Genomic DNA, 25,164 nt, shown 5'->3' on the forward strand with positions numbered 1-25,164 from the left:
TGGTTTTAGGTCTAAATTAAGTCTTTAATCTATCTTGAATTAATTTTTGTATAAGGTGTAAGGAAGGGATCCAGTTTCAGCTTTCTACATATGGCTAGCCAGTTTTCCCAGCACCATTTATTAAATAGGGAATCGTTTCCCCGTTTCTTGTTTTTGTCAGGTTTGTCAAAGATCAGATAGTTGTAGATATGCGGCGTTATTTCTGAGGGCTCTGTTCTGTTCCATTGGCCTATATCTCTGTTTTGGTACCAGTACCATGCTGTTTTGGTGACTGTAGCCTTGTATAGTTTGAAGTCAGGTAGCGTGATGCCTCCAGCTTTGTTCTTTGGCTTAGGATTGACTTGGCAATGCAGGCTCTTTTTTGGTTCCATATGAACTTTAAAGTAGTTTTTTCCAATTCTGTGAAGAAAGTCTTTGGTAGCTTGATGGGGATGGCATTGAATCTATAAATTACCCTGGGCAGTATGGCCATTTTCACGATATTGATTCTTCCTACCCATGAGCATGGAATGTTCTTCCATTTGTTTGTATCCTCTTTTATTTCCTTGAGCAGTGGTTTGTAGTTCTCCTTGAAGAGGTCTTTCACATCCCTTGTATGTTGGATTCCTAGGTATTTTATTCTCTTTGAAGCAATTGTGAATGAGAGTTCACTCATGATTTGGCTCTCTGTTTGTCTGTTATTGGTATATAAGAATGCTCTCTTTTGTTCTTTGTTAGTCTTGCTAGCGGTCTATCAATTTTGTTGATCTTTTCGAAAAACCAGTTACTGGATTCATTGATTTTTTGAAGGGTTTTTTGTGTCTCTATCTCCTTCAGTTCTGCTCTGGTCTTATTTATTTCTTGCCTTCTGCTGGCTTTTGAATGTGTTTGCTCTTGCTTCTCTAGTTCTTTTAATTGTGACGTTAGGGTGTCAATTTTAGATCTTTCCTACTTTCTCTTGTGGGCATTTAGTGCTATAAATTTCCCTCTACACACTGCTTTGAATGTGTCCCAGAGATTCTGGTATGTTGTGTCTTTGTTCTCATTGGTTTCAAAGAACATCTTTACTTCTGCCTTCATTTCGTTATGTACCCAGTAGTCATTCAGGAGCAGGTTGTTCAGTTTCCATGTAGTTGAGCAGTTTTGAGTGAGTTTCTTAATCCTGAGTTCTAGTTTGATTCCACTGTGGTCTGAGAGACAGTTTGTTATAATTTGTATTCTTTTACATTTTCTGAGGAGAGCTTTATTTCCAACTATGTGGTCAATTTTGGAATAAGTGCAGTGTGGTGCTAAGAAGAACGTATGTTCTGTTGATTTGGGGTGGAGAGTTCTGTAGATGTGTATTAGGTCCGCTTGGTGCAGAGCTGAGTTGAATTCCTGGATATCCTTGTTAACTTTCTGTCTCGTTGGTCTGTCTAATGTTGACAGTGGGGTGTTAAAGTCTCCCATTATTGTTGTGTGGGAGTCTGAGTCTCTTTGTAGGTCACTCAGGGCTTGCTTTATGAATCTGGGTGCTCCTGTATTGGTTGCATATATATTTAGGATAGTTAGCTCTTCTTGTTGAATTGATCCCTTTACCATTATGTAATGGCCTTCTTTGTCTCTTTTGATCTTTGTTGGTTTAAAGTCTGTTTTACCAGAGACTAGGATTGAAACCCCTGCCTTTTTTTGTTTTCCATTTGCTTGGTAGATCTTCCTCCATCCCTTTATTTTGAGCCTATGTGTGACTCTGCACGTGAGATGGGTTTCCTGAATACAGCACACTGATGGGTCTTGACTCTTTATCCAATTTGCCAGTCCGTGTCTTTTAATTGGAGCATTTAGCCCATTTACATTTAAGGTTAATATTGTTATGTGTGAATTTGATCCTGTCATTCTCTCAACATTTGCTTGTCTGTAAAGGATTTTATTTCTCCTTCACTTATGAAGCTTAGTTTGGCTGGATATGAAATTCTGGGTTGAAAATTCTTTTCTTTAAGAATGTTGAATATTGGCCTCCACTCTCTTCTGGCGTGTAGAGTTTCTGCCGAGAGATCAGCTGTTGGTCTGATGGGCTTCCCTTTGTGGGTAACCTGACCTTTCTCTCTAGCTGCCATTAACATTTTTTCCTTCATTTCAACTTTGGTGAATCTGACAATTATGTGTCTTGGAGTTGCTCTTTTCGAGGAGTATCTTTGTGGCATTCTCTGTGTTTCCTGAATTTGAATGTTGGCCTGCCTTGCTAGATTGGGGAAGTTCTCCTGGATAATATCCTGCAGAGTGTTTTCCAACTTGGTTCCATTCTTCCCGTCACTTTCAGGTACACCAATCAGACGTAGATTTGGTCTTTTCACATAGTCCCATATTTCTTGGAGGCTTTGTTCGTTTCTTTTTATTCTTTTTTCTCTAAACTTCTCTTCCCGCTTCATTTCATTGATTTGATCTTCCATCACTGATACCCTTTCTTCCAGTTGATCGAATCGGCTACTGAGGCTTGTGCATCCGTCACGTAGTTCTCGTGCCTTGGTTTTCAGCTCCATCAGGTCCTTTAAGGACTTCTCTGCATTAGTTATTCTAGTTAGCCGTTCGTCGAATTTTTTTCAAGGTTTTTAACTTCTTTGCCATGGGTTCGAACTTCCTCCTTTAGCTTGGATAGTTTGATTGTCTGAAGTCTTCTTCTCTCAGCTCGTCAAAGTCATTCTCTGTCCAGCTTTGTTCCGTTGCTGGTGAGGAGCTGCATTCCTTTGGAGGAGGAGAGGTGCTCTGATTTTTAGAATTTTCAGTATTTTTGCTCTGTTTCTTCCCCATCTTTGTGGTTTTGTCTACCTTTGGTCTTTGATGATGGTGATGTACAGATGGGTTTTTGGTGTGGATGTCCTTTCTGTTTGTTAGTTTTCCTTCTAACAGTCAGGACCCTCAGCTGCAGGTCTATTGGAGTTTGCTGGAGGTCCACTCCAGACCATGTTTGCCTGGGTATCAGCAGCGGAGGCTGCAGAACAACGAATATTGGTGAACAGCAGATGTTGCTGCCTGATCGTTCCTCTGGAAGTTTTGTCTCAGAGGGGTACCCGGCCATGTGAGGTGTCAGTCTGCCCCTACTGGGGGGTGCCTCCCAGTTAGGCTATTCGGGGGTCAGGGACCCACTTGAGGAGGCAGTCTGTCTGTTCTCAGATCTCAAGCTGTGTGCTGGGAGAACCACTGCTCTCTTCCAAGCTGTCAGACAGGGACATTTAAGTCTGCAGAGGTTTCTGCTGCCTTTTGTTCGGCTATGCCCTGCCTGCAGAGGTGGAGTCTACAGAGGAAGGCAGGCCTCCTTGAGCTGCAGTGGGCTCCACCCAGTTCGAGCTTCCCAGCTGCTTTTTTTACCTGCTCAAGCCTCCGCAATGGCGGGCACCCCTCCCCCAGCCTCGCTGCCACCTTGCAGTTTGATCTCAGACTGCTGTGCTAGCAATGAGCGAGGCTCCATGGGCATAGGACCCGCTGAGCCAGGCGCGGGATATAGTCTCCTGGTGTGCTGTTTGCTAAGACCATCGGAAAAGCGCAGTATTAGGGTGGGAGTGACCCAATTTTCCAGGTGCTGTCTGTCACCCCTTTCCTTGGCTAGGAAAGGGAATTCCCTGACCCCTTGTGCTTCCTGGGTGAGGCGATGCCTCGCCCTGCTTTGGCTCATGCTCGGTGCGCTGCACCCACTGTCCTGCACCCACTGTCTGACAATCCCCAGTGAGATGAACCCAGTACCTCAGTTGGAAATGCAGAAATCACCCGTTTTCTGCGTCGCTCAAGCTGGGAGCTGTAGACTGGAGCTGTTCCTATTTGGCCATCTTGGAACCGCCCGATTGTGATTTAAAATGAGAACGAGATGGTCCCTTTGGTTCCTGGTCCCTGTAACTGTTGCAATTGAAGGGGCATAAGCTTATTAGCCTTTTGAGGTTTTTTTTGCTCTAGAGTCTTCTCAAAATGCTTAGCTAGGTTGGGCACGATGGCTCACGCCTGTAATCCCAGCACTTTGGAAGGCCAAGGTGGGAGGATCACGAGGTCAGGAGATCAAGACCATCCTGGCTAAGATGGTGAAATCCCATCTCTACTAAAAATACACAGATTAGCTGGGCATGGTGGCACACGCCTGTAGTCGCAGCTACTCGGGAGGCTGAGGCAAGAGAATTGCTTGAACCTGGGAGGCAGAGGTTGCAGTGAGCCGAGATTGCGCCACTACACTCTAGCCTGGGTGACAGAGCAAGACTCCACCTCAAAAAAAAAAAAAAAAAAAAAAAAAGTTCAGCTAAGGCCACCAATTCAGTCACATCTCTAACTTCCCATTGCAACTTATGTTTTTTAGTTAAACTGCTAAGTTCAGGATGGAGTCCATTTATAAGTAAAGCAGTTAATGCTGTTTCAGCCCCTGCAGGGAATACTCCTTGCTGTACTTTGAGCCCAGGATGTTTCACAAATATTTCTAAGCGACTTCTGTAATCTGAAACTGGTTCATCTTTTCTTTTCTTTTTTTTTTGCTTACAAGATTGTATGATGGACCAATTTTTTGTGGAAAAATTTTAGGAACTGAATGTTAAAAGGTTTTCAGCGATTTTTCTAGCTATTTTTGGTCCTTCTTGTGAGGAGCTCTTAGAGGGCCCTTTAAAATGTCCTCCTCAGGTTTGTCCCATTCTGCTGCTGCCATCCATTTCTGAGCTTCACCAGCCCCCAGTATCATATGAATAAATTGGTAAATTCATGAAGTCCTGGATCGTAAGCTCCTATTAGGATTCTAAATTCCTCAGTAAATTTTTGAGACTTTTCCCTTGGACCAGGGAAGTCCTTCACAATGGGGCTAAGCTCAGTTTTAGACCATGGAGTGAAAGTAGTTACAGCAGGCAGGCCTGGCTGATATAAGGTCTCACTTTGTAAGACATCTGTCTAACTTCCTTTTTTTTTTTTTTTTTTTTTTAAATCATCTTCAGGGTGAAAGTGTAATTTAACAAAAAGTTTAGTGGACTCAGAGTATGTAGGTAGAGATGGACAAAGAAGGAACAGTCCGAGTTAGATCAGTCAAAGTACAGTCCTCTTTCTTCATGTCCTTGGTCTGTTGCTTAAGCTTTTCATTTGGTTTTTGCAAAGAATCTTTTAAGGAGGCACTTTTTGATTCACTTAGTCTTTTGGAGGCCTTTGCGTATCCATGAGACAATACATCCCACTGTATTTGTGGGGGCTTTGATCCCCTTTTTCTAATATGCCTTGCAAACAATTTTATCCAAATTAAAACTTCTCCATTGTGGCCATTTTAATTCTAAGTTTTCTTTAGTGAGGTTAACCCATTTTACTGAAAATGCACATGTTCTGGGCCCATAATTTTTATACGTAAAATTAGCTGGAGTCCCTGAAGATGGAGTCCCAGACTCCTTGGATTGAGATGATCCCATTATTAAATAAGGTACTTATCAGAGGTCTGAGGCCTCTAACTGAATCCAATCCAGTTAATTATCAAATCCAATTTGATCTTGGATCCAGTCCAGGCTAAGTATTGCTTGAGTAAACTCGGAGAGCTCAAAACACAAGTTAGTGGAGCTCGGAATCTGAGAGAAAACTCACCCATGACCTCCAGTTACAATCAAGAGACCAGTGAGAGCAACGGCCTCAGTGGGTACCTCACCAGGTCACCTGGTGTTCCAGGGGGTTGCCAGAGTTTTTCTTCAAATCCCACTTCTGACACCAGATCTGTTAAAAGAAAACTTCAGACAAGTTAAATTTGATGGAGTTTAATTAAGCAAGGAAAATAAACACTTTGCAAATCAGGCAGCCTCCAGAATTGAATGCAGTTTGAACACTTAGCAGTCTATTAGTGCTTGAAGTATGGCCACTGGGATTGGCCAACACTCAGCTATTATTACAGATGCATACTACTCAGGTTTTCCATTTTGTCTGCCTATTGTGCTAGGTTATGGTTTGTCCACAAGAACACAAATATAGAAGTATGGAGTCCTTCTCAGGCCATATTTAGTTTGCTTTAACAATACTTAAAAAAAAAATTTGTAAAATAAGGATACTTAACCTTACTCGGTGTTTCTGAGAGTTAACATTTATATAGTTATGCTGTAGTGAAAACAGCTAGCGTAATGTCTGGTATGTATAGGAACACAAGAGATACCGCTTTTCCCATATCCCCATACCATTCTTCACAGCATTGCTCCTGTCTTCCTTGATTCCTCCTCCTCCTTCTTTGTTTTTTTTTTGTTTGTTTGTTTGTTTTTTTTTGGAGGTGGAGTCTCACTCTGTTGCCCAGGCTGGAGTGCAGTGGTGTGATCTCAGCTTACTGCAACCTCTGCCTCCTGGGTTCAAGTGATTCTCCTGCCTCAGCCTCCTGAATAGCTGGGATTACAGGCACACACCAACACACTCAGCTAATTTTTGTATTTTTAGTAGGGATGGGGTTTCACCATGTTGGCCAGGCTGGTCTTGAACTCCTGACCTCAGGTGATTCACCCACCTCAGCCTCCCAAAGTGCTGGGATTACAGGTGTGAGCCACCACACCCTGCCTCCTTCTTAAGAAGTTTCCAGTCCCTTGTAATTAAAGGAATTAATATTTTTTAACTACTTAGAATCAGACTGGCCCTGATTATTAGTAAGCAACTAATAGTAAGCAAGCAACTATGTATGCAACTATGAGTGTATGTTAAGATATGGTTGTTGGTAACCTTTCATTCTCTTCAGGAAGAAGAAGAGGGTGGAGCTCTACAGTCAATGTGTACATTTAAATTCTGTTCCCTTTCGAGCTTTTTTGCTACTTTCATTCTTCTGGGGATCCAGGTGCTTGAGTTGGGATTGATTAACTTCCTTAATTTCCACCCCTGTGCTGTCAGGATCGGGAGACATAGATGAAGGTGTTCTAAACTGCTAGAAATTTTGTTTTTGAAAGCAAAAGTTTGCATGCATTTTTGTTTTCAACTTTTACTTACAGTGAATAGTAGTTAATAAAATAAGTCCCTGCCTTTTCTCTCTTTGGTTTCAATTCCTGAGACCAGGATCATAGCCCACATATTAGAGTGGAGTCCCACTGCTTTGGTTTGAATCATGCCTTTGTTTCTTATGTCAGTGTGACTTTGGGCAAGTTATTTAAGTCTTTGCACCACATTTTCCTCATCTGTAAAATGAGGATAATACTAGTACTTTCTACATGGGATTGTTAGCAGGATTAAATGAGATAGCACATACTGTAACCATGTCTGGCACATAGTCAATGGTTAGTAAATGTGAACTATTGTGTGACATTGTGGTTAGTCACGTATGGGGCTGTGTTTCCTTTAGTATATTGCTCTTTTAATGTCATTTCCTTTGTACTGTTACCCTCTCTGATCTTTCTTCCATATTCATTTTTCTTTCAGTGAGGTCTGCCAGTCTTTAGTGAAACACAGCTCTGGAATAAAAGGAAGTTTACCACTACAAAAACTACATCTGGTTTCACGAAGCATTTATCATTCACATCATCCTACCTTAAAGCTTCAACGACCCCAATTAAGGACATCCTTTCAGCAGTTCTCTTCTCTGACAAACCTTCCTTTACGTAAACTGAAATTCTCTCCAATTAAATATGGCTACCAGCCTCGCAGGAATTTTTGGCCAGCAAGATTAGCTACGAGACTCTTAAAACTTCGCTATCTCATACTAGGATCGGCTGTTGGGGGTGGCTACACAGCCAAAAAGGTGAACTTGACATTCCTCCTGGTTTTCCAATTATTATATCATGATTAAGTTTCTATAGCATAAATCATTTTTGTGTAGTGGAATACAATTGGATGTTTAAACATTTATTTTGTGTCTCTACCATGGACTAGATTGTTTTAATGATGCTAATAGGAAGATGCCTTTAGAATCTTAGTTATAATTACAGGAAATTAAAATGGCCTAGTGGAAGGAGCACAGGGCTGGGAATAGGAACACCTAGGTTTGATTTTGAGCTTAGACATTTAGTAGCACAGATGTGAAAGTCAGGTGGCATTCTCACACAAGCACTTCTTGGCAGGTCTGGGACCAGAGGCAAGGCGTCCTGTCTCCCAGTCTGTCTTCCTTCTACCCCACAGTAATATTTAGGGCAAAATTATGAAACCTGTTTGAAATAGGAGTATATTCTGAATTTTTACATTTTCCATATTTAACAGAGGAGTGTTAACTTGTTTTATATGCTTGTTTGCTGAGACCACTTAATTTTGTTTCTTAAAAGTTTTGAACATAATACATTATTCTTAGTAGATTAATGTGTTTTAATTAAATAATTTTTCTTTACATGTTTATTTGGCATGCAGAGCATCTGATTGACACACTTTCTTGTCTTTTAGACTTTTGATCAGTGGAAAGATATGATACCGGACCTTAGTGAATATAAATGGATTGTGCCTGACATTGTGTGGGAAATTGATGAGTATATCGATTTTGGTTTGTATCATGAACATTAAAATACTTTTTTTGGTCATCTCGAGGAAAGAGAAATAGTTTATTGAGATAGTTTCTTAACTTATGAACCTAATATATCACGGTTTTATTTTAATGATATAAGTAATAGAATATCAATGAAAAAATCTGTATAAAAGAAATACCCAGTAGCCCATAATTTTACCACAGCTGCCACTAACTGTTTGGAGCATTTTCTTTTAATTATACTTACTATATGTGGTTAGTATCTTTTTAACTTATCGATTGAGACAGGATCTTGCTCTGTCACTCAGGCTGAAGTGCGGTCTTGGAATCATAACTCACTGCAGCCCTGAACTGGCTAAAGTAGTCCTTCCGACTCTGCCTCCCAAGTAGCCGGGACTACATGTGTGTGCCACCATGCCCGACTGATTTTTTAATTTCTTGTAGAGATGAAGTCTCACTATGTTGCCCAGGCTAGTCTCAAATTCCTTAGCTCAAACCTCTCACCTCAGCCTCTCAAAGCACTGAGATTACAAGTGTGAGCCACTATGCCTGGCTTGAGTTTTTTTCTTTTAATTTTTTTCTTTTCATGAATACTACCACAGAATAGTATTTTAGTTCCCTTTTTAAAAATTATGTAATCATGGTGAATATTCACTTTGGTATTTTGTCTTTTGCTACCTAACATATTTTGTCAGCATTTCCATGCTGCCAAGTAGCCTTTCTATTAATAATATCATTTTCTGCATTATGTAATGTTGCCCAGAGCATATTTATTGTGACCCACCTAGCTAGCTCCTTTTGATTGGATACCTTGGTTATCTCTACCTTTTGTAGCCAAGTTCTTTAAAAGTCTGTTAGTATCCAGGGTAATTTCTTTTCTTAGTTGGCCACTGCCCTCCCTTTTTCAATAGGTGGATGAGAAAAAAGTATATTGGATCGCTATGATTGCCAGTAATTCATGGTGATCTTTAAGAAATATATTTTCATCAAATTTTTTTAAAACCTTTGTCAGATTTCTTAGTTTAGGTGTATGTGGAGGTGGAATTAATCTATACTTGCACTTATTCACAGAATTTATAAAGATAAAACTGTTCTATGTTGACGAATCCATTTGCAAAAAAAGCACACTTTCAAATTGTTCTTCTAATATTAATGAGGAGAGCTTTCAAATTGATGTATTTGCCAGTACCACAGCGTAGTGGCTGAGAGCCTGTATTCTGGAGCTGGACTGCCTGGGCTGGAACCCGGGCTCCTCCACTTCCTTGCTGTGTACCTTAGTTTCTCATCTGTAAATGGTGTTGATAATAGTAGCTGTTTTGTAGGGTTGTCATGAGGATTAAACAAGTTAATACTTTAGCCCTTTATAAGAATAGTATCTGACATATTTTCTTAGTTTCATACTCTATATGTTTTGATCTTTTCCAGAGAAAATTAGAAAAGCCCTTCCTAGTTCAGAAGACCTTGTAAAGTTAGCACCAGACTTTGACAAGATTGTTGAAAGCCTTAGCTTATTGAAGGACTTTTTTACCTCAGGTAAGGAAGAAGCTGTTTGATCTAATTTAAAAATTTAAGAACCATGGAGGAAAAATACATGGATTATTTGTTTATTCCCATTTTTTTAAAATTAAAATATTTAGTACCAATGAAAAACAGGACATTTTTTAAAAAGATAAACACAAAGTTTTGTTACACAATGGTTTTAATCTTTGTGTAGCCCAGTAAAATGACAGTTCCTAAGCACTTAAACATACTTGGCTTTTAGTGAGGGGAAAAAATGTATCACTTGTTCTTGACAAGTAGATGAGACTTCCTATGTATTTGCTTTTCATAAGTGGTTGGACCAATTTGGTGGTTTTAAAACAAATTTAAGTATGATAGACCATAATGAGTAGCATTTATTAAGTTTAATCCTGGCATATTTGCCCAATTATTGCCCTATCGTAATATGAAATCTGAGATCTCAGACATCTTTGTTTGCTCATTTCTGTTAAATTTTACATTTCTATTTCCCCTTTTGCTGATTTTTCACAGGTCACAAATTGGTTAGTGAAGTCATAGGAGCTTCTGACCTACTTCTCTTGTTAGGTGTGTAAACAGACATTTTTGCTGACCTTAACATGCCTTTTAAATGCTTCTAATAAACTAGTTGCAAATAAAATTGCAGACCAAATTTATAATGCTGCTTATGCTGAATTTTAAAACCCCAGAACTATATTAGGCAAACTCATTATCCTTTAGGTGGAAATAATAAAATAATTATTTTGTGATAACACTAAAATTCTTAAATATGTATGTGTATTATAAGATTAAAGCTATTAAAAGAAAATTTACTTAGCAAAAATATTTTCTTGAAATAGATCTAATTGTTTTTGATAATTGAAATGAAAAGTAATTTTAGTTTGTCTCATCTGCCCTGTCATGGTTGACATTTAAATTTGTTTTCCGGCCGGGCGCGGTGGCTCATGCCTGTAATCCCAGCATTTTGGGAGGCCAAGGCAGGCGGATCATGAGGTCAGGAGATCGAGACCATCCTGGCTAACACGGTGAAACCCCATCTCTACTAAAAATACAAAAAATTTGCCGGGCGTGGTGGCACACGCCTGTAGTCCTAGCTACTCGGGAGGCTGAGGCAGGAGAATTGCTTGAACCCAGGAGGCGGAGGTTGCAGTGAGCCAAGATCGCGCCACTGCACTCCAGCCTGGGCGACAGAGGGAGACTCTGCCCCCCACCCCCAAAAAAAAAAAGAAAAGAAAAAAAAATTGTTTTCCTGCTATACATGGTCTGTAATGCCAGTGGTATGTGGCTGAACTGTAAGTACTCTCATGTAAAATAATCCTTACCAAAGATTGTCTTATTTTTTTATTGTAATTTTCAGTTATATATTTTTAATTGTTAGGTTAAACATATGCTGCGATTGCTATAGTTAGTTTTTTTTTTATTTTCTGCACAGGTTATCAGTCATGTTCCTTAAAATAAGAATAAAGGCGATTTGATTCTTTGAATCTGAGTTGCTCTAAAAATCCATTCACCTTTTCATTGACTCGATGTAATTTGAAATTCAGCTTAGGCTGTTGACATCACTGGAGAATGTAAAGGGTTGCATATTTATCTTTAAGGTTCTCCGGAAGAAACGGCGTTTAGAGCAACAGATCGTGGATCTGAAAGTGACAAGCATTTTAGAAAGGTAAGTGTAAAAGAGAATTGTTCATGTAGGTAGTCTTGAAAGATTTTTTAAAGTTTTTACTTCTTTGGAAGATTTTAAAATGATAACATCTGAGAAGCAAATACAAAAACATCCAAGTAGAGATATCGTTACTAATCTTAGTGCAAAGTACAAGGTATTACGTGGCAGTTCTGGAAATATAATTGAGAAGCCCATTTCTTTCACATATGTCCAGTGAAGCATTAGTTTCGAGGGTTGTCCCCAAGAAAGAGTTGTGTTGTTAAGTGTGTGGGGGGAGAAAGGCTCGTTTAGACAAGGCAAGCGGACTTCTTTTCTTTCCCTAGGACCTCTCATACTGTAATATACTCATGCGCATTGTGAATTTCCAAGGAGTCAAAGCATACAGTGTTTTCCCAAATTATTTATCAACAGAACCCTTTTGCTCATGGAACGTCGTATAGGGACTAGATTTCACTTTGGGGAAACTAGAAAGGGAATAGGAATTGGGTTATTAGGAAATAAATCAATTCCCTGATATTGATAGTTAACAAAGTTATGTATGGGGTTATTTATGGTATGTTATTTTCAACACATATTCATTAACAAAATCCATATGAAAGTTATAGGAGAATTGCTGAGGTAGAATAACATACTTTGTTTGTATTTATAATACTCATATATTTACCTGACGTTTTCTGAGTCTTCACTTTTTTCATTCTTTTGGAATTGGTAAAATAACTGATTCCTTGAAAGTTTTTTTCTAAATAATACCTAGATAATAGATTTATAGAAAAAATATTGTATGAATGTTTTAACATTCATGTAATATGGAACATGTAATTTTTATACTGGAGGTTATTATAGTTTTAATACATCAAAGAAATAATGTTTATTTTGGAAGCAGAAAGAAGAAATAATTTCTATGAATAGGTTTTCATCTCTTTCCTTGTTCTTCAACTTTGAACTTTTTATATTCCAAATTTTAATTATATTTCAAAAGATTTTTTTCTTTTGCCTTTTAATTTTATCTTTTGGAGAAAAATGTATGTCAAAATGTATGTACGTGTATTTGTCTTTTGATTTGATCTTTTTTGACCCTCTTTTGCATTGACATTATTTTAACCAAAGGACACTCTTGATTGTTCATGCTACTGGGGGAAAAAAAAATAAGTAGAAATTAGCCTAATAGTTGTGGCTTATTTTGAGTGAAGGCCTTAGCCCTTAAGGCAATTAAATTTACTGTGGAGAGAAGAGCTAATCTAATGGGGAGAAGGAGCCTTTGTTACAGGTGTGGTAGTGTGGTTCTTTGAGTGACAAGATTTCTGTTTGCCAGATTGGTTAGGAGAAGTCTGTGTGTCTGCTTTCTCTCTTATGGCCTAGGATCACTGTGGTGAATGAAAAACCTGTCTCAGGGCCTGACTCAGATAATTCCCTTAAAACCCGGCTAAGGTCATAGATGAATAATCAGTAATTGAACAGAAGCTCTGCAATAGAAAAGAAGCCAGATAATTATTTTTGGAAATTTAATTATATTTACAGATTTTATTTTATACAGTAGACATGGAATTAAATTTATTACATTATGTTCTAATTTACTCTTTGCTTGTTTTGATTTGCTTGTTTGACAATACATGTCCTTGTAAACTATTTCCTTTTAACTTTTTCTCAATTTATGGTGCTTATTTTCCCCATTAAAGACTTACCAATTTTTTTTTTAACTATTTGTTACACATACTGAATCTAGAGTTGTAATTAAGCTACTTTCATTACTGGTTAAGTCAAATTATAGCAAATGCTACTATAAAAATTTACTATCCAAAAATGTGTCTCAAGCCCCAACTGATGGTTTCAAATTCTGTTATTAATAATATGCAGCATTGTGTTTGCAAAGCTTGGCTGTTACTTGTGATGCTTGAGAATGATGAGTCACTCAGCTAAACTGAGTGATTTTGAGACTTGTGTACAAATTGATGGTTGAATGTAAGCATGCAAAGAGAGACCTTAGCTTAGCAGTACCCTTTTTGAAATCACTCTGACATCAAGTTTGAAAATGTGGGCAATAATCAGAGGTGGTAAGGTGGCCAGGCTTTAGCTGAATACTTTTTTAACTGGTTCAGTCTGAGGGCTGAAAGCCCCAGATTTAAACAGTATTTAGAATTTGAAGCAGTCAAGTATTAGTTTAATGGTTGTCAGGTTTGTAACAAAGTTTCTGGCTAGACTTCTACTAGAAATGTAAAAGTGCATGTGAATCAGCTTTTTAAAAAAGTAATAATAATTGAAAAACATTTCTACAACTAGAACTAAAGAAAAGATTTGTCCTTTCTAATAGGAAAACACATCTGGAGAAGTGCTGGCAACTAGCAGAACAGTTAGGACCATTCAGAATCAACTGAAGTGAAAGTGACGGGGAGCTGAGGGGAACACAGATAGTTTGACTTCAGTCAGACAGAATAAACATGATGAACCGATAACCTGTGATTCCCAGCCTGGGGTTACTACTGGAGTTTTAGGTGTCCTGGAAAGTTATAATACCGGTCTTCAAAAAGTCTACAGAAAGCATAGATTTCCACATAATGCTGCACAGGCTAACGAATTAATCAAGTTTCTTTGGTTTGGCCTGGATTTATATCCATTCAGTTTGTGGACACTACTGAATTATTTATGTCATGTTGATCAAAAGTTCTGATATGATTTGATTAATGAAACATTGAAAAAAATAGTAAAACCAACCATTTTTAACCTTACACTACTATCTTGAGGTATGATTGACATACATTAAAACCACCTCTTAATAAATGCTTCTTGTTAATCAAAAATTTGAAAACGTATGTCCACTGGAGGAAAAAAGACATAGCCCTGGATGTGAACTGAATATTACTGAGACTCGGAGACCTTCAGAACTACCTGAAGATGAATCGAAGTGCTGCCTACTTTAGAGAATTGGACTAATTTAATTTGGGAGTCAGCAGATTGCTGTATATCAGTCATCATATATACCGGTGACAAGACCACTTAGTTCATTCCCTTTTTTAGATTCTGTAAGATTATTGTGTTCCAGTGAAATTGATTTGCAAAATGAGACATTTTATTTTCTGTGCTTTTGTTCTATCATGTTTCTGATTGGTCATAAGCATCTCACAGAAGTAAGAAATATGGCGATTCAGAAGGCAACAAGCACATTTATAATTTATAGAAAATATTTGAAGGACTTTTTCATGGCCCAAATCATGAAAAGTAGTAGTATTGTTTTAAGTATAATTATTAAATTATAATACATTAATGTTCTTTCTTGCAACATATTACTCTCATTCTTTTTTTTTTTTTTTTTTTTTGAGACGGAGTCTCACTCTGTCACCCGGCTGGAGTACAGTGGTACGATCTTGGCCCACTGCAACCTCTGCCTCCCGGGTTCAAGCGATTCTCCTGCCTCAGCCTCCCAAGTAGCTGGGATTACAGGCTCCTGCCACCACGCCTAGCTAATTTTTGTATTTTTAGTAGAGACAGGGTTTCACCAGGTTGGCCAGGATGGTCTTGATCTCTTGACCTCATGGTCCGTCCACCTCTGCCTCCCAAAGTGTTGGGATTACAGGCGTGAGCCACCCAGCAGTCTGATTCTTAATTTTATAGTTTATGTTGTACCTCCCCAGCTGAAGTATCTCTTTTCTTTTTTCCCGCGTGTTTAGTGTTCACTCATCTTTATAGCATAGCTCAATTGTCACTTCATGAAGCCTTCCATAACCTTTGTAGCTCCATTAATTATATTCTTCTGAGTGTTTAAAACACTTGCCATATGAAACACTATTTACTTTGGCTTACATTCTTACTATCTAATCGGCCATTTCTGTTACTAAATCTTTTTCTCAGAGCACCTGGGATAGTCTTGTGTCTTAGTAAAATCAGTTGATTGATTTAACTCGGTAGAGTAGAGGCTGATTAAAGTAAATAAATCTGGTTGATGCCAACAAAATTTTGGTCCCCTCAATTTTTTGCTCTCATTACCTGCAAATTCTCCCTGGCCTTCATATTTGGCAACCATTGAGGAGAACAAGGCTGTAAAAGTAGTTCATGTACTTGATATTCTGAATTGGAATTAAGCAGAGTTGCTTAAGTAGGACTTGCTTTTCTGGGATTTCTTATGCAACAAATAATGTAGTAACTGGAAATCCAAGTTCAAGACACTGGCAGATTCGATGTCTTTTGAGGACCCTTGGCTTCATAGATGATGCCTTCTCCCTATATCCTTACATAGCAAAAGGGGCCAGGCAGCTCTGGCCTTTTTTTGTAAGGCCAATAACTCCAGAAACCTCATGACCTCATCACCTCCCAAAGGCCCCACCTCTCAATACTATCACATTGTGAGGCTAGGTTTCAACATATGAATTGTGGGAGACAAAAATTCAGACCATAGTATAATATTTCAAGATTACTTAAACTCTTCTCTACCAAACTCATTAACTTTTAGGTTAGCACAGTATTTTCATTGATATTTTGGTTTCTGGAGTTATTACTAATTTTCTTGATCTGATGTTATAATTAAAAAAAAACAGGACTTTGTACGTGAAATGAGACTGAGATAAGGAAGCTGATTCAGAGATGGAGATTTAAAAAAAGAGAGATGAGAGATTGAGATCTGCAGTGTCAAACTGACAATAGCCAGGAGTCAGGAGATATTAAGAGACTATATCATCTGTGATTGTTAATGATTATTTATTGTTATTTATAAATACTACTGTATTTTATATATTATATACATTGTTTTAAAAATTATTTTTGTACCATTTCTTGAAAGAAAAATGTCTAAGCTTGGGAAAATATTTATTGAAAAATGTGGTTTGTACATCTGAGGAGTGTATCTTGCACAGTAGGTGCATAGATTTCTTCCTCTTCCTGTTCCACATGGCCTTAGCTTAGAGGCTGTGTGGCCATCACTTGGTATTTAGGGTAAGACTGGTGCACAAAATCAAAGACAGGTAACCTTGGTATAAGTGTAGTATCATGTAAATAGCTTTTCTATGTCTAATTCTTGTTTTCTTCCTACTTTTTCAGGAGGTCAATTTCAGTTCATTTCAACTATCTTTACATAATAGTGCTTTAGTAACAGGCATGGAAGGAAAGAGACATGTCCCTAGAGTGTTTTCTTGAAATCTAATAGATGATTGGAGTATTTACCATGCAGTTGTGTATATACATAAGCAGTGAATTCGAGAGGAATTTTTAAGCTGTAAAAAAAAGCATTGTGTGCCTTATAGACGCGAGTGAGAAATGTGGAATATGGCTGATCCAAAGGGAATGAGTTATCTCAATTGATTAATCACAGTCAGTTACAGATTGAACTCTTTGTTCTACTCTTTGCCCCCTTCTCACTATTGCTCTTGACTAGTCTTAAGAAAGAAATGTGGAATATTTTCTCACGGCTTTGGGATTTTATAAATTAGAATACTAGTGGTATGTAAATACAGCAGGTACACTACTGTATAAACCAACATAGGAAGCCTTCTTTAAAGGGAATTGTTTGAGAAATTTGAACACTTGGATAATTTGAATAAAGGATTGTGATAAATGATCAAATGAAAGAAAATAAATCAGGTTACTCTTCTTTCTGCTTGATAAAGCAATAATTTTTTTTAAAGGTAAAAATTATGAGAATGATGAGGATAGTAGTTAGCATTGTCTTTCTTTGATAGGTTTGTTAATGATCATAAAACTGATTTATTTAAAGACATGTCTTTTTATAACTATTTTATACTGTTGTATCTGGAAACAAATATTGAATTTCATTTGTCATGTGGAAGAAATCAACTAGTTTTAACCTTTGATTTATAATAAATCAACCACTTTCATTTATTGTCTAATACTGGCAATGAACACAGCCTAATGTATCAAAACTAACAGAATAAAAATTCTCCAAGTTATATCCAGACTTTAAGACACTTTCTAATTATATAAAATAAAATATTTTGGGCAGTCATTTTTTAACTCTGAAACTATTTAAAACTCCTAATTTAGAATATCTTAATAAATACCCATTTTCCTCTTTTTATTTTTATAACTTGGTAAAAATTGAGTCCATTGTTTTCCCAGAACGCTGTTCTTAAACAAATGGTTACCTCCTTCATTAGAACTTTACTTTTTTTAGGATTTCTAATTAAGAAAACATTAGGCTTGTAACATTGTCAAATCTTGGTGGTCTTTCTTCCACGTTTTTTGAGGTCGATTATCTAAGAGGCCATCAGTTAATAAAGCTATGCAGGAAATGACATCATGCCACATGTGAATATCCTGTATTAAAAATTGTATCAATATACTATTTTATAATTATGAAGTGGAATGAATTTTAGAAATAGAAAAGGTGATTTTTTGTGCATAGGTCCAAACTGTGTTTTGTTTTCATTTCAGAATTTCATAATAACTATATTGTCTCCATATCTTAATTGTGTTTTTTTATAGCACTTTTGTTTAGTAATTTGTATATGCTTGGCTGTATTCTCAGAGGCTGTTTCTATTTAATGTTGTCAAAACAGCTCATAAAAAGTGAAAATTCGGTCAGACTAGTTATTTGATATTATATATGAAATCAAAACAACCTGAAACATTATCTTTTAATTTAAATAAAGAACCCCAAATTTTAATCAAATGTATGCAAAGGCACATAGAATATATGACTTAATGTACAACCTTTATTAACTTGATGATGGAAACCTGTTCCTAGGGACCTTTACTTGAATAAATGAAATATCAAGAAAAAATACTAACTTAAGAATAATAATTTAATAAGTAAGTAAGCTATTATGATCTTCAATCAGTCCTGAGAGAATCATGGTTGAGAATTAGAAAATTTAGACCAGTAAGATCAACACTGTTAAAAAAAAAAAAAAATCAGTATTTTTTCTCCATATTTTTTATATATCTGGATCATTTTATTTAGCACTTATTATTGCACTTTCCTTTTCACTTTTTAAACTATGCTGTTTTATTTTTCTGAGACATCTGATTTACTGAGGAGGAAAATGGAAATGCGGTACAGAGCCCAAGGGTATGACGGCTTTAAATGAGTTTCCATTTCTGTTTTAAGTTAACCATCCCTCCCTAGCTTACATCTGTTCCTTTGTTGCACCCTTGGTTTAACATTATTCTCCTCCCCAATTTCCTCTTCTCCTCATTGTGAACTCGTGGCAGGGTCTGCTTGGTGAGCTCATTCTCTTACAACAACAAATTCAAGAGCATGAAGAGGAAGCGCGCAGAGCCGCTGGCCAATATAGCACGAGCTATGCCCAACAGAAGCGCAAGGTGATGGATGGTTTAAGGGGGCTACCGATACATTCACACTAATCAGCCATTTCTGCCAAGATCATGTCACCTCAATCTGTTCATGGACTCCAAATACAAGAAATTAATTTGACAAAGTGAAAATATAAAAGATGCATCATATAAATATGTAACTTTTCTGGAGTGGGTAGTATAGGTAAAGCCAAAAGAAACAAATTCAAGCAGAGGAATTTTGGTTTCTGAAAATTAGGTTGTCTGTAGGGTCCCTGTATTTATACTTAGAACAAAATTAGGAATTTCTGTTTATGTGGTCCAGTTATTGAGTCACCCTAAGTTTGTAGGCATCTTACCTACCTACTTGCTCCCCAAGTTTTTATTTCTAAAATGAAAAGCATTGCTGTAGATGACCAGTTTACACTAAAGAATAACATTTATTTATTTGTTTTAGCTAAAGTATATGGACAGGGAACATTCATATTCTTGTAGAAGAAAATTATTTTGACTTTTGGGCAAAAGCATGTAGTTCTTATACACTTTGACAAACTCATTGCGTACATTTTTCACATTAATCAAAGTCAGCACAAATAAATTTTCACCTTGGACCACGGAGGGTTTGAACACTGGAAATTTGATATAATTCTGGTTGCTAAAGAACAAGTTCTAATAAAAGCTTAAGTGTATACCAATATGTGGCTGTTGGTGCAATCAGCAGGTCCGTAAAAATATGATTTTAATGGTTAGGTAATCCCACAACGGAGATCCCAAAGTTCATGTTTGGAAGAGACTTTTGGGTCAAAGTGAAATCAGTGTAATGAATTTAAAATTATACTCTGAGATCTTGAAATCAGCTAATTATGTTACATCTTATTAGCTCAGAAAAGTTTTGAAGTTATATACAAATGCTAGTCAGGAAAAAAGATTCAGTCATGTAATTCTTGTACATTCTACTATTTAAATCAACCAATATTATAGATTATGATTTAGTGCAGTAATTCTGCTGGCTAACCTTATCTCATTTGGTGGTGGTTAGTACTTCAGAGTACTCACCATAGTTTCATTTATGTTTTCAGCATCACTTCCTGGTTTTTCTCAATTCCATGGCTGTGGAATCAATTCATATGTATATTTAGCTTCGGTGAGCAAAAACATAGCTAGAAAAAGAAAAGAAGTGAGTTTCCTACCTGGTTAAATTAAAGTCGATGTGTTAAGCCAAGGAGGACTTCTTTTGAATGGTACTTTAACAATCCCTGTTCTGTATACTGTGAATATATCATTTAAATAGCCTAATAAATTGGATGCTTAGGCTGAGCCACCTATACTTTAGTTTTGTTATGGAAAGAAGGGAGAGGAGCAAGTATGTTCTTATATGTTACTTAGAAATAAGAATGTAGCTGTAGTTACACATTGTTCTTAAGTTTTTTTCGTAAGACAACTTGAAATGAGTCCCATAGGCCTGCTATTTAACATTCTAAGATATGACTTAAGGTTAATGATGAGCTTTTGAATCTGACAATTCAAGAGATATCCATAATGAATACTGATTCATTTTCTACATTGCTGAAAGCTAATGTTCATTTTAAGCCTACTTTAGTAGCCTTTATTTGGGCTTAGAGATGTTATTCCTCTTTCTGATATTTATTGGGTTATCTGTTTAACCCTTTTATATCTCCCTTTCCCGATTTGTAAATTAGAGACTGGCAAGACTTTTTACCCTGAGTAGAGCACCAAACATGGCTTGTTTCTGCCCACACTGTAGTTACCTTGAGGGGAAGTAAATGGGACTTTAAAAGCAATTTATGCTCTTTTATAGTGAAATTATCCCTCTTACTATCCCGAAAGACTGTTACCTTACAATATCCTCCACTCCTTTCCCCCTGTAGTTACTATAGAGATGACTTTTCGGTTCTTCACTGCCATAATGATCAAAATCCTAATTCATGAGATTTTTATCATTCCAGGCATGTGAGGTTTACTTGATGCATAAAACCGCAAGTACTTTTTGTTGTTTTTTAATTGTTTTTTCTCTCTTATCTTCTTGAAAGTCTAAGTAGATCATCATTTTTGATGTCTTATTAGTAGCAACTAATAAATTTTCCCTGTATCTTCTCAGCAAAAGAACTCAAGCAGAGACAGAAGATTAGAACTACCATTGGTAGTTTTGCTTCCTATGGATATGTTCACATACATAGAAATTTTTACAATGACCTTTTTATATATGTATTTCAGAATTTCAGAATGGCCTCAATGCCTTAATAGGAAGAAATACTTGAAATTTTTAAATTAGGGCTTGGTTTTGTGAGGAGCTAGTAAAGGTTTTTCTCTTTCAGCTTTAGCTTGTTTCTGCGGAGGATTCCGCTCTTTCTCCATCAGTTTCATAGCCCTGGAATTGTAGAAAAGCTCTGGTTTCAAGACCATTGATATCCATTTCTGTCAGGGTGAGTTTTAAATTTATTTCATGATGCAAACAATATATTGAACAACAGGACATGAACTTGTTCTTGTTGTAAGTGGCTGAATTTTATCAGTAAAGCACATCAAAATAAAATATACCCCAATTGCTAGTTAAGACCTAGAGTGACAGATTGAAAATAGCTTGTGTTATTCTCTTAAGAAAATATATAAAAATTATCATCTCATCAATCTTTAATGTTTGTTTTATAAATCTAAATGTTTTTATATTGTTTCCTAGGAAATATTAGGTCTAATTTTTTACTTTACCACCAGCTGTCTTTTATTTTACTCTTTTTTTGAGACGGAGTTTCGCTCTTGTTGCTTAGGCTAGAGTGCAGTGGCACTATCTCAGCTCACTGCGACCTCTGCCTCCCGGGTTCAAGCGATTCTCCTGCCTCAGTCTCCCGAGTAGCTGGGATTACAGGCACATGCCACTACACCAGGCTAATTTTGTATTTTTAGTAGAGACGGGGTTTCTTCATGTTGGTCAGGCTGGTCTCGAACTCCCGACCTCAGGTGATCCGCCTGCCTCGGCCTCCCAGAGTGCTGGGATTACAGGCATGAGCCACCGCACCTGGCCAGCTGTCTTTTAATATAACATTATGATTAATTGTGATGTTCCATTAAACTAAGCGGAGAGGAAACATGCTGGTAAACCATGTGTGAGTTATTCATTGTACCAGAAAGGCAAATGATACATTTTATCCTAAAATTCAAATTTATAAACATCTTAACACTTGTGATCATTAAATACTACTAATCTAGCATATAAATTATATTTGTAGGCGGGGCACGGTGGCTCACGCCTGTAATCCCAGCACTTTGGGAGGCTGAGGTGGGCAGATCACGAGGTCAGGAGATCGAGACCATCCTGGCTAACATGGTGAAACCCCATCTCTACTAAAAATACAAAAAAAATTAGCTGGGTGTGCTGGCGGGCACCTGTAGTCCCAGCTACTTGGGAGGCTGAGGCAGGAGAATGGCGTGACCCCAGGAGGCAGAGCTTCCAGCCTGGGCGACTCCGTCTCAAAAAAAAAGAAAAAAGAAATTATATTTGTAATATTCTACTAACCTTATATCATTTTAACTTTTTATATAACTTTTTTATTTTACCAAATTAAGTTAACCTTTTATAGCCCTTGGCTTATACTAAACATCCTAACTTTTTTGTTTAATTGTATTAGTTTTTAAGTTATTGCCCCAGATGTCAAGTAATGTTGGATTTTCTATAATAATTTAGGATATATTGCATGAAGTCAGTTAGTATTTACATTTAAAACTAAAACAATTTATACTAATACAGTTTATACATTTCATACTAATTTAGCTACAGTTGGATAAATATTTAATGGAACAAAGTAAATCAAAGTACCTTTTCAAATGAATTGGAAATTAAATCCACATAACAATTTTTTATGACCACACTATTACAGTGTGATGGCATGCCAAATGATCATAATGTGGAATTATGTATTTCTTCATTGGCTTTCAAGATTCTGTTCTTTAGTTTGTGGGCTCCTCTCCAACTTGCTTGTCTCCTCACAGTTTAGGCGACTGTTTATAATTCTTGTCCATCCTGCATAAACACACACAGTCAAAATGAAAAAAAGCTTCTATCAGCAGATCTGTGCTTGCTGTACAGAAATGGGAAAACAATTGAAGTTTGCATTATCTTTTTTCTAATTACCAGATCGTTTTTGGAGCTATTTAGGCATACGCTTTTAAGGAAAAAAGAAAAAAAGAGTGTACCTTTTGTTTCTAACAAAGGTTGTTATCTATATTATTGAAATAAAAAATTGGGGATAGTTATGACAAAGTATTTAGAAATAGGAATTAAAATCTTAAAATAACTTTTCATAGCATGGACAAGACTTATTAATGTCTACCTCAATAAGCAAATCATTTAAAAATTTTTCATGTATATTTGCTGCCATGATGTGTTGTGATTGCTTAAATAACCAATGAATGAAGATCAACAAGGATTTAAATGAAGAAGAATATGGATTTAACTATTTTCTCCTGTGAAATAAGTTCATATTTACAAGTTTTGATTTTCAGAAATTAGACAATTATTTTTAAAGGCTGGGATGACAACTTCTGCCTCTTACCAAGAAGTCAAAGCACAGTTATGTGAATTCATCATAAATCACATCATTTTTATTATATTTTGTATTTATAATTGTATTGTGACTACTTTAAAACCTGTTATAAAATAAAATTGTTTTTTAATATTTTATTTTAGAATTATTAGCATTAATAACAATTTGAAGTAGTTTACACAATACCTGTGAGTTTTATTTTTGTTTTATATTGAAATTAATTTTAGTTGCTTTACTTGGCTTCATTGCTATGGATGCATTCTCTGTGTTACGAGTTAGCAGATCTTTCCTTGGAACTGAATTTAAAAGCAAGCATTTGGCTCCACTTAAATCTCTGAAAATGCAACTTGTTCTTTGCATTTATTACATAATTCGCTACTTATGGTACAGAAATGGATACAATACAAAAATATTTCCTTATAAGATACACTGTGACCAATGAGCTTTTTAAATAGCTGTAATCAGTAACATGTATTTGACTTTTCAAAACACATTTCTGGAGGGATATCAGTGCTTTATTTCCCCAAATATCTGAATCCCTATGCTTTAGTACAAAACAACTTCTGAAGAATTTAGTAACCATATGTGTTGATCTCTTGTTTTTCTAACTAGTCTTTCATAAGAAATGACTAGAATAGCAACAGGGAAATGATTGCCTTTTAAGGTTTTTGTTTCTCAATATAAAATTTTGGTGAACCATTTTTATTGATAAATACAGGTATTTTTACTTTCTTAAATCACTTGATTTAAAATTACTTTGATTAAATATGCATATAAAGTCAGTTGTTTTTAACTCTCAATACTTATCAAAAAAATTTAACTTGCTGTACATTCTGTATAAACCTAATTCTATTCAACTAAAATTATTTTAAACATTTAGGTGTCAGACAAAGAGAAAATTGACCAACTTCAGGAAGAACTTCTGCACACTCAGGTAATCATGATGACTAAGAAAAACTAGGGACTTTTAAAAATTATATTCGAATGTAACTTTGGTGATATGGACATTTATTTTTTCAACAGAGCAAAATTTGGAAGGTGTAATGATAGAACCTTATTATTATCGATAGATGCAAAAGCTAATTGAGAAATAAGGAATAAAGACAGAACTAGATAAGTATGGAGTTAACTCATTTATATGTAAAAACCTATTTTGAGTGAATCTTATGCCCAAAAGGGAGAAAGTGGCTTGTCCTTATATAAACTTATGCTTGCATTTTTACATTGATAAGCTAATACAGTTAAAGAAATTCGAGTTGAGTCTACCACATCGTTCTAGTGGGCTCTCAGGAACCTTTACTTTGCTTCGCAAGTCTGAAAGCAGTCAGACAATGCTTATCTAAAGCTCTTTCTGGCACTACTTAGAAAAGCTATTTTCTTATAGTTGGTGATAAAATTATTACTTTAAGGACCTATTTTGTGCAATGTAATGAGTGGGTAACATTCTAGTACAAAATTACCCTATCACAGCCAGGCACGGTGGCTCACGCCTGTAATCCCAACACTTTGGGAGGCCGAAGTGGGCGGATCACAAGGTCAGGAGATCGAGACCATCCTGGCTAACACAGTGAAACCCCTTCTCTACTAAAAATACAAAAAATTAGCTGGGCGTGGTGGCAGGCGCCTGTAGTCCCAGCTACTCAGGAGGCTGAGGCAGGAGAATGGTGTGAACCCAGGAGGCGGAGCTTGCAGTGAGCCCAGATGGCGCCACTGCACTCCAGCCTGGGCGACAGAGCAAGACTCCATCTCAAAAAGAAAAAAAAGTTACCCTATTACTCAATCATCAGTTTTTCTATATAGGTGACACTGACATGCATTAATTA

The 25,164-nt window shown here is 36.6% G+C and overlaps 1 protein-coding gene and 1 long non-coding RNA gene across 21 annotated transcripts in view; one reads left to right on the top strand and one right to left on the bottom strand.

Annotated features, from left to right (window-relative positions):
- The window catches only part of OPA1 (OPA1 mitochondrial dynamin like GTPase), a 104,604-nt gene that overhangs the window by 14,183 nt on the left and 65,257 nt on the right, over window positions 1-25,164 (top strand). For 4 of the 20 annotated variants that reach the window (NM_130837.3, XM_047448212.1, XM_047448206.1 and 1 more), the window contains 7 exons: window positions 7,333-7,651; window positions 8,284-8,380; window positions 9,788-9,895; window positions 10,394-10,447; window positions 11,479-11,546; window positions 18,702-18,812; window positions 24,222-24,275. In NM_130837.3, coding sequence (NP_570850.2) covers window positions 7,333-7,651; window positions 8,284-8,380; window positions 9,788-9,895; window positions 10,394-10,447; window positions 11,479-11,546; window positions 18,702-18,812; window positions 24,222-24,275 — 811 coding nt within the window. Of the gene's footprint in view, window positions 1-7,332; window positions 7,652-8,283; window positions 8,381-9,787; window positions 9,896-10,393; window positions 10,448-11,478; window positions 11,547-18,701; window positions 18,813-21,126; window positions 21,227-24,221; window positions 24,276-25,164 lie in introns of those variants that run through there. The other 16 variants (NM_001354664.2, NM_015560.3, XM_047448210.1 and 13 more) reach the window with 9 other exon arrangements.
- OPA1-AS1 (OPA1 antisense RNA 1) lies at window positions 11,209-19,942 on the bottom strand. The gene is made up of 3 exons (NR_046634.1): window positions 19,839-19,942; window positions 12,211-12,296; window positions 11,209-11,520 (listed from the first exon to the last, which is right to left on the bottom strand). It is a non-coding gene; the product is annotated as an OPA1 antisense RNA 1 (long non-coding RNA).

Source organism: Homo sapiens, chromosome 3 (genome assembly GCF_000001405.40).
Source record: "Homo sapiens chromosome 3, GRCh38.p14 Primary Assembly".
In the NCBI taxonomy this organism is placed as follows: Eukaryota; Metazoa; Chordata; class Mammalia; order Primates; family Hominidae; genus Homo; species Homo sapiens.